Source organism: Homo sapiens, chromosome 3 (assembly GCF_000001405.40).
Source record: "Homo sapiens chromosome 3, GRCh38.p14 Primary Assembly".
NCBI classification, from domain to species: Eukaryota; Metazoa; Chordata; class Mammalia; order Primates; family Hominidae; genus Homo; species Homo sapiens.
Genome location: NC_000003.12, coordinates 97,787,425 through 97,797,086, shown reverse-complemented (window position 1 = coordinate 97,797,086; position 9,662 = coordinate 97,787,425). Strand labels below are relative to the sequence as shown.

The 9,662-nt window shown below is 34.7% G+C and overlaps 1 protein-coding gene across 23 annotated transcripts in view; it reads right to left on the bottom strand.

The window, feature by feature from the left end:
• ARL6 (ARF like GTPase 6) overlaps positions 1 to 9,662 on the bottom strand; it is a 36,722-nt gene that overhangs the window by 4,156 nt on the left and 22,904 nt on the right. For 9 of the 23 annotated variants that reach the window (XR_007095753.1, XR_001740321.3, NR_136598.2 and 6 more), the window contains 2 exons: positions 8,968 to 9,097; positions 5,261 to 5,316 (listed from right to left, as the gene is read on the bottom strand). Coding sequence is in view for 8 of the 23 variants with exons in the window: in XM_017007311.3 (XP_016862800.1) it covers positions 5,261 to 5,316; positions 8,968 to 9,097 (186 nt within the window). In the remaining 15 variants the exon portion in view is untranslated. Of the gene's footprint in view, positions 1 to 3,684; positions 3,901 to 5,121; positions 5,135 to 5,260; positions 5,874 to 8,967; positions 9,098 to 9,662 lie in introns of all 23 variants that reach the window. The other 14 variants (XR_924186.4, XR_924185.4, XR_924188.4 and 11 more) reach the window with 5 other exon arrangements.

The window sequence follows — 9,662 nt, the reverse complement described above, 5'->3', positions numbered from 1 at the left end:
GGATTCCTTCCCCTACTCTCTGTGCTGGTTTTCCTGTCTCATGATCCCTCAATTTTCTCTTCTTGGTTTATTTCCTTTTATTTTTTTGATAATGCTGGTACCAAGATTTTCCTGTTTTTGAAAAATATTCTTCTCAGTGGCTACCTTAGTAAAAAGGACAGAAAGTAAATTCTTGAGATACCATATAGCTGAAGATGTCTTTATTCTACTGTCAAAATGCACTGATACTGCCTGAGTATATAATTCTATTATTCCCTCCTTGGACTCTTCCAGGCATTTCCCAATTATCTTACAGCTTCCAAGTTGTTGCTGTTGATAAATCTGATGTTATTCTGTTTTCTTATTCTTTTTTTCCTCAGGAAGCTTTAATTTTTTTTCTCAGGAAGCTTGCAGAATCTTCCACTGTTTGCAGCACTGCATTTTAGTAATGATACCTGCTGGTATGGGAATATTTTTATCCACTGTATTGAGCTCTTGAGAGGCCTGTCAACTGAAAACTCATCAATTTAGTTCTAGAAAATACTGTTCGAGGATTTGCTATCCTCTACTTTTTTCTGTTCTCTCTTTCTGAATTTCCTATTATTTGGATATTGGGCCTCCTGAACATGACCCCTTTCTTTTCTTTCAAATTTTCTATTCTTTGTCTTTCTGCTCTACTTTCTGGGAGTTTGCCTCTATTTTATCATCTTTTTAAAACTAAATTTTTCATTTCAACTACTATATTCTTATTTTCCAAGAACTCATTTTTTTTCGTTCTTTCTTTTCAAGTAGTTTACTGCCTTTATTCATGAAAGTAACACCTTCTCTTATCTCTTTGAGGATACTCTTTAACAGTTTTTTGAAATGTTCTCTCTATATAAATTCTACTTACTCGAACCCACTTTTCTTGTTTGTGCACATTCCCATATTTCATAATGTTTTCATCCTCAAATGCCTGGTCATCCTTTGCCATCTGTTCATATGTATAAGTGAACACTAAAAAATTGATTGGAATTTGCAAACGTGTGTGAAGCTTGTCAAATATGGTCTTCCTTTTAGTACGTCTGGCTAAGCCATTTCCTTGGGATCTCCAATATTAATACCTTTAGATATTTGCTCTTAGGCTGGTCTGATTCCCCAAAGATGACTCTTCCTATATCCTGCCTACTGTCATTGTTTTCTGGGAGAAATAGGAGCAGTAGAAGAGAGTTATAATATTCAGCATGAAAACTTTTTTTCCTCATTTTTCAATTCAGCACCACCAGACAGTTGTGCACCTAGGGTTTTCTAGTCCAGAGACACTGTCTTTGACTCTGCAGAGAATAAACCTTCAATTTTCTCTTAAAGGGAAGATGTATAATCATATCTTCTCTTTTCATCCCACGTTCATCCTTATTTTCAATTTCCACCAATTTCTGAGGCTTTGCATCTGCAATGTAAATTAGGCTGCTTTTCAGCTTTCCCCACTGGTAGTTTAAGATTCAGCTTTCTCAGGTCTGTTAAGTAATTCAACACTGATCAAATATTCAGCTTCCAAAATTTGGTTGCCATTTTCACTACTTCCCTTCTTTTTGTCCGTATATATTAATATCTTTTTAAAAAGTCTCTTTACTGTTAGTGAGAGTTGGGAATGAGATGAAACTAAGCATACTTGATCAATCTTCTTTCATTGGAATACTCCTGCATAGTTTGTAAGTCTAATATTCACATCTGGGAGCATTATTAACTTTTTCCATGCAGACAAAGCAATAAAATGAATACACTTTATTAGTTATTTGGGAAGATTTCTTTTTAAAAGTACCTAATTTGAAAGTTTCAGGGCAAGAAAACTTACAGTTCTGCAATAGTTTCTGTTTACTCTCTGGCAGTTTAAAAAATACTTCCTAGTCTATTCAGTGTTCTTGTCTTTGGGTTATTCTACATACACGATTATTGAGACTGTTTCCAAAGACAACAGAATCGTGCCATTACATGTGCCATTTAATATTTCACCAAAAAGCTTCTAACCTTAAACTTTATTTTTAAATTTTTTTGAGACAGTCTTGCTCTGTCACCCAGGCTGGAGTGCAGTGGCATGATCTCGGCTCACTGCAACCTCCACCCCCAGAGTTCCTGTCTAAGCCTCCCTAGCAGCTGGGATTACAGGCATGCACCACCACGCCTGGCTAATTTTCTGTATTTTTAGTCACAATAGTGTTTCACTATAGTTGGCTAGGCTGGTATCGAACTCCTGTCCTCAAGTGATCTGTCCACCTCAACCTCCCAAAGTGCTGGGATTACTGGCATGAGCCACTGCTCCCGGCCCCAATCTTAAATTTTAAATAATAATATTAAATTAGCCCCAAATGAACCAAAGGCCTTCTTGTTTGTCATACTAGGAAATTCCAGAATTCTGGAAGCAAAATCAGATATAAGTTCAGAATACCCTTCACAGCTACATTCACATAAAGAACTTTGGCTAACACAAACTACTCTCCTATATTTACTGCTATTTATTTTTTAAAAATAGATTTTTGTCTCTTTTCAAATCTAGAGACAGTTGGGAATATGACAATATAAACTATTTGTTATTACACAGAAAATATAACCAAAGTGGCCGGGCGCGGTGGCTCATGCCTGTAATCCCACCACTTTTGGAGGCTGAGGTGGGTGGATCACCTGAGGTCAGGTGTTCGAGACCAGCCTTCCCAACATGGTGAAACCCTGTCTCTACTAAAAATACAAAAAATTAGCTGGGCATGGTGGCAGGCACCTGTAATCTCAGCTACTCAGGGGGCTGAGGCAGGACAATTACTTGAACCTGAGAGGCAGAGGTTGCAGTAAATCGAGATCATACCACTGCACTCCAGCCTGGGTGACAAGAGACAAGAGTGAAACTCCATCTCAAAAACACACACACACACACACACACACACACACACACACACACAAAAGAAAGAAAATATAACCAAAGCACCTCCTATTTGAAACCAAATGATACACTTTTTTATCCTGTGGCTTAGTTTCCACCTTTTTTAAATAGAGTGTTTAGGTAAAAGGGTAAACTTAACATTTATGGGGTGCTTTCTTATGCTAGGTACTTTAACAGTATCTAATTTAATCTGTACAAAATATAACACATTTTATTTTTTACTTTTACAGATTAAAAAAATCTTCACAAGGTAACAGATGTTAGCTAACAGAGAGGTAAATTAATAAGTAGTAGAATAAATTTGCTGGACTCAGAAGCCTAAGTTTTTTTTTTTTCAACTATCAGTCAATGCTTTCTATATAAAACAGAGGTACTACTGCTTACCTTGCAGAAAATTGTAAAGGGTACATAAAGTAATATGGAAAAACAAGGACACAAAAGTATTTCCAAAATGTGTCCTCCTTACAAAGACTTGGGAGGTAAGACAGATAATGATGGATCAGAAAAGTGAAAGAAACAAAAATTAGGTATCAAGACCAGAGTTGGCAATTTGTATTGTGATGTTGGATTGCTACTGACACCTAGTGGCTAACTGCTAGTGACAAAATAAAACCAGAAAAGAAGGGATGGAGAACCACACTTTAAAATCCAGAAGACTATCAACCTATTTTCAGTAAATATTGTGCTCTGAATTAGGTTATCATGAGTGACAATAGGGTTTCCATCCATGCTATATCTTCATTGTTAGCAATGGTAAGCACTCTGTAAAATATGAAATAAGGCTGAAAACATACTCCTGGTATCTTCTCTGGAATATTCCTCTGTAGCCTGTTTCTGGTGGAAATCCACCCCATTGCCTTCAACACTTCTTTACTGCAGTCTAAGAAACTAAGTTGCTGGGTTCACAGAAAAATCCCGTAGTTCTTCTGAGAATCACTAGAGGTTCCTGATTGTCACTAATTGTGAAATATGACTTGAATGTTCCTTGCAGTTTAATGGTGTTATGATAACTACATAAACATAAAAGACACAGAAGTACAATAGTCTGTCCAGTTAACTAAACCACCATATTATACCAATAACACATACAAATATTTATGAAATGTACATTTCGCACTTTGAACCAAAGAAATACTATGATGTATGAGCAGGCAGGCTACTCTTAGATCTACCATGATATGTGCTATATCCCTGCTATTGTTTGCAACATGCAGAAGATTTAAAAAAAAAAATCACACACAACTGGCATTAAAAGGTTTGTGTAGAAGAATTTGTAACTATGAGACTGTAGCTAGAATTTATAATATCCTGTTATTCACTCTTGTTCAGGGCAGAGACATTCCCCGTAGAAATGATCTCTAGTTGTTATGCTCAGAAATGGAATTTCTGACTTGGCCATTAGGATCCTGCAATAAGAACCTATGAGCTTGGTTTCATTCACAACTATCTACTGCTCTGTGTGCTTCAAGCCATTCTTTTGGCTGAGAGACCATTAGGGTAAATGATATATGTTAATTTATTCCCTAATATAGTAAGCCTGTACCAATCTATGATAACTATTTTGATGAATAGCAACCAGAACTGCAAATATACAAAATATCAATAAAAGATCAGTATCTCTAATACTAAATATGAATATTACAAGTTGTGTATACATGCTATGTATAAATGGAGCTATATCTGTAGTATAGCATGATTCTTCTTCTTTTTTTCTTGAGATGGAGTCTTGCTTTGTTGCCAGGCTGGAGTGCTGTGGCGCAATCTCGGCTCACTGCAACCTCCATCTCCTGGGTTCAAATGATTCTCCTGACTCAGCCTCCTGAGTAGCTGGGTTTACAGGTGTACACCACCACATCCAGCTAATTTTTCTATTTTTAGTAGAGACAGGGTTTCACCATGTTGGCCTCGATCTCCTGACCTCATGATCCGCCTGCCTCGGCCTCCCAAAGTGCTGGGATTACAGGCGTGAGCCACCGTGCCCGGCCAGCATGATTCTTAAAAGAAACATGTCATTCAGACTTATTTTTAGTTATTGACATTAGGGCCTAACATTTGTCCCAAAATTTAAATGTGCTTCTATTACTAGATCTGACAGGAACTTGTTGCTATAAGTTTAAATTGTTTTCTATATGTGTCATATATATTGACTGTAAAGATTCAAACACTTTATGTAAATAAATCCTTTAGCAATATGTGATAGAAGTAAATGGAACAAGGTATTGGATACTTACTGTATTGTTTTTTCTGATAGCAGAAATAAATGGAAAGAGGAAAAAAGGCAATGATATAATAAAATAAAATGTAAAAAAAGATAAAAATATGAATAAAAAGGAAACAAAGGCTGAAGACACACAGTATTTTGTAATGTACCTTGAAGCCAGTCTACACCTTCTTGCAAGCCTTCTCCTTTTATGGCATCACTAGCACTGAAATGAAATCCATAAGAAACATAGCCATCTCATTACATCACAAAACTATAAGAATAAAGGATTACAATTTTGCCATATGGAGAATTAACACATTATAACAACATATATCTGAGCAAAACTGGTTAAGCATTGAAATTGAAAATAAACAGAAAATAAAAGTCTGAGTGCTCAGGAACAAGATATGTTTACAATTTATAAACAGATTTTGAAAAAAGTTATTTTATCCCAGGATTAGTTCTTACACTGACATTAACAAAACAAATACTTTTATTTTTCCAGTGGTAGAAAAGTTTTGTACAGCCCACTATCCTACTTTGCTCAGTTCCAATCATTCAATCTCATTATTAGAAATGCTTGACTTGAGTTATAATACAGCCATATTATGGTGTGCCTTTGTTTGAAATGGAATTTGATATCTTTAGGATAAAAACCCATAATTATAGGTTTGGTAAGCTGGTAGAGTAAAACAAAAAGTCGGTAGATCTCAATCATTTTCTTATTAGCTGAGGGAGCTTGACTAGGTCATTGAACTCTTCTGTCTTCAGTTTTAGCATCTGTAAAGTGGGGGAATAGTATCATTGACCTCATATGGTGATTGTGAGAATTAAATACTTGAGGTATGTATATAAAACACCTAAAACAGGGTGCTTCCATTGTCTTTCCATTCTTGAGAGACTAAACTTAAATTGTTATTGTGAGATTTTATGTATAATCATAATTAAGTATATAAATTAAAATAATAAAATGCAGAGGATTTTTAGAGGATCAGATAATCTTTTTAAAAGGTACAGTTTCTCGTAACATGTCATTGATCTAGTCATTTATTTTCAAAATATGATTGTTTAATAGCAATTAATATATATGATTAGAGTTTCTGAATGATTAGGGTTCCTTTTAGTGTGCTGAAGGCATGACTTTAAAAAGTATAGTGAAGTACCTAAAATAATTAACTTAATTATAATCCAAATAAAAATTATCTCCCAGAAATTACTTGTTAGACTAAGAATATGGCTTATCATAGAATTATTATAAAATACAAAGAAAGAAACAAACAACATGAGATACACAATTATTCAAAGCAAATTACTTATTATCCATGGTAAGAGTAAGAGATCAGTAACCGAAACACTTAAATCAAGAAAGATAAATATATTAATTTTATCATACACCTATAGTTCCAAACAATTAATACAATGAAACCCTTCCCCTCTGGTGTAGGTGTCATTACCCTACTAAAAACTGCATCTTTTCCTAACAAATGTTCGAATTCTATCTTTCCTCTCAAATAAATAAGAATAAAGCGAAAATCTTGGCCCTGTGTGATATGACCCCTGGTTATTTCTCAGTGGCCTCATTTCCTACAATTTCCCCTTAGATTTCTCTGCTCTAACCAATCTGGACTTCTTGCTGCTCCTGGAACACACCAGGTACATTCTCATCCAAGAAGAGGCTTTTTCTTGCTGGCCTCTCTATCTGGACAATTATTCCTCCAAACCTTCACATGAATTGCTCTCTAACTTCAATTAGGTCTCAGAGAGGGAGGAACTCCCACTATTCTTTCTCTTATTATCATACTTTATTTTTTCTCATCTTCCCAGCTGACATTTTATAAATTTATTTGCTTATTATTTGTCTCCCCCACAAGATGGTAAACAAGTATACATACACACAACATGCACACACACACACACACACACACACACACACACACACACAATCATGATGCCAGGGATTGAGTCAAAGAACGCATCTGAAGGAGAATAATACAATCAGACCCTGAAAATCAGAGCTGACTATATGTTTAGTACAATGGTCAAACATAAAACATAAAATTTTTCTTTAATTTATCAGACTATACTTCTCTAGGATCTTCTCTTCATTGCTCAGTAAATTTACTTGTACCCAAGGCAGGAGACAGATAATATTTTATCTCTGTATCACTGAGAGCATTACCTTTATATTTAAAATAGAAAAAGGATAAATACATTTTCAATTTTATACATGCTTTTAAAAATATTGCCAAGAATAAAGAACAAAACAAATAAATGAGATACTAATTTGAACCTAGTGAGAAGAGGTCCAATTTGAATTAAGGAGAAGTCACAATTATACACATGTTTAAAAGAAACACTTTGCTTTCTTATATAAGTTATCCAGAAAATCTAGCAACTGGCAAAATAACATCCTACATCCTTATAAGCATCAGGATATTACTTTTTTTCTCACAGAGAAATACTGAGATGTCACAATTGAATAAATAAATCTGTTAAAATGTAATGGTTAATTATTTTAAGTAGAAAAGATGGTTATTTAATAATTAGATCCATGTTTTTAAACGTGCACTTTCTATCAAGCAGTCACAATACTTAATACAACACAGAAATTAAAAATTATTCTATTTTAGAAGTAATCAATTTAGGTATGATTTAGAGAAATATAAAGGCTCTAGCTCAAGACGTTTCCTTATCCAAAATCCCACCATTCTTTACCTATCAAATACCACAGGACCCAAATTCCAACTCAAGAATCATTTATTAGACACTAACTTTTCCTCTGATCCTAGAGTAAGGAAGGTTTTACTTGGGATATGCAGGGTTTAGCTCCTGGGAAGAGGTGCTGGAGGCTCTGAATACTGGAAAGTGTCAAGAGCTTTCCTAAGGTCTTTACTATTACTCTTTCAGCGCCAAAACTAGTTCCTAAAGTTGTTTTCTGAACTCTATGACCTCCTTGCTTCATATTCTAGTTCACCCTTCTTGTGGCAGTGGATCTCTCTGCTTCTGTTTCCAATCTTCCCCACAGATACCTTCTTATAAAAAGGGGGAAACTCTGGCATGGAAAGGACCTCTTACAGCAGAGAGAGGTAGGTGGGTGGGTAGAAGGGAGTTTAAGATGGTAGTCGTAGGCACTAAAATACTATCTAATGTATAATCTCTGTTTATCCTTATTAGAATATTTTGGTAGAAAGGCACAATGGAGTTAAATAAGAAACTGTTTTCCAAACAAACAATGCATAACAATTTCAACATTAATTACTTAAGAGTTCAACCTTATTAGGATGTCTAAGTAAACTTAAAATTTCCATTTCCATTTATTCATTTTAACAAATATGTATTGTGTACCTATTACATACCAGGCACTATGACTATTGTAGGGATTATTAAAGTGAAGAAAACTGACAAAACCCCAGCTGTCAGGGAGCTAACACACCTGTATAGGCAGACAGACTATAAACAAAAAAAAAAGCAGTCACATGGTAATAGTGACTCTAGCAAGCCAGGAAAATTATTTTGGAAAATGATTCAAAGGAGGGGGATACAAGTGCACATGCTCTTAGATGGGACTGTGCTTGGCTGACTCCATGTGCAGAAGGAAATCAGTGTAGCTGAAGTCAGTAAGTAAGTGAGCTTTTAAGTTATTCCATTATAAGAGTTGTTTATATTTTCCTATCCCCCCAAAAATTTGAAAAAGGTTTTTAACAGTAATATATTTGTAAAAACCTACAATGCCACAATTCTACAAAACAAAATCCTTAGCTTATATGCCACCATGTTTGATCACTTATTTTTAAAAAATGAGATCAGAAGAAACAACTCTGAAGCTTGTATATTTTTCAGAAAGCTACAGTGAAAAGTAAATATAAAACTTTACCAAATATGCCAGGGTTTATCTTTGATGTTCTCTAAACACAGCAACTGAGACACTTTTACAGATGTCACTGCATCTCTAAGATCCATTTTATTTGCAAAGAATAAGATTGGAATTCGACGGTGTTTAATATCTAAAAGAGAAAATAAGATTATCATCACACTTCCAGCTTTTTAGGTCATTTTGCAGCAAATCTTTAGTACTGAAACCCATGAAATTTTTTTTCAATTATCTTTTTTCATATCACACACACAGAAACATTTAAAGACACATACTGTCACACTGTTAGGCATGTATTTGAGCAGTAACAAAATTTTAAAAATACTTCCTAGGACCATCTGCCCTCTGGTTAGGAGCTTTAACCAAAGATGGGTGAGGTGGGACTGGAGCTCAATAAGCATTACAGAGAAGTACCTACAAAAAAGCATTAAATATTTTGTTTCCTTTTTAATGGTGAACAGAAAGGAGGCAAACTTCAAGTAGAAGTAGAAGGAAAAGAAACTGGGAACTTATTTAAGTTTTTTGTCACAATATCATAAGTAACAAGCTAGATTTTTAAAAGATATTTTTACCTTGTCATGATTTTGGAAACATTTTTCATTTTTTTGAATAGACAATACATTTAAATAGTTCAAAATTCAGAAGATACAAAATGGCATACAGTAAAAGAATCTCCTTCCTAACTTTGTCCTAGGACA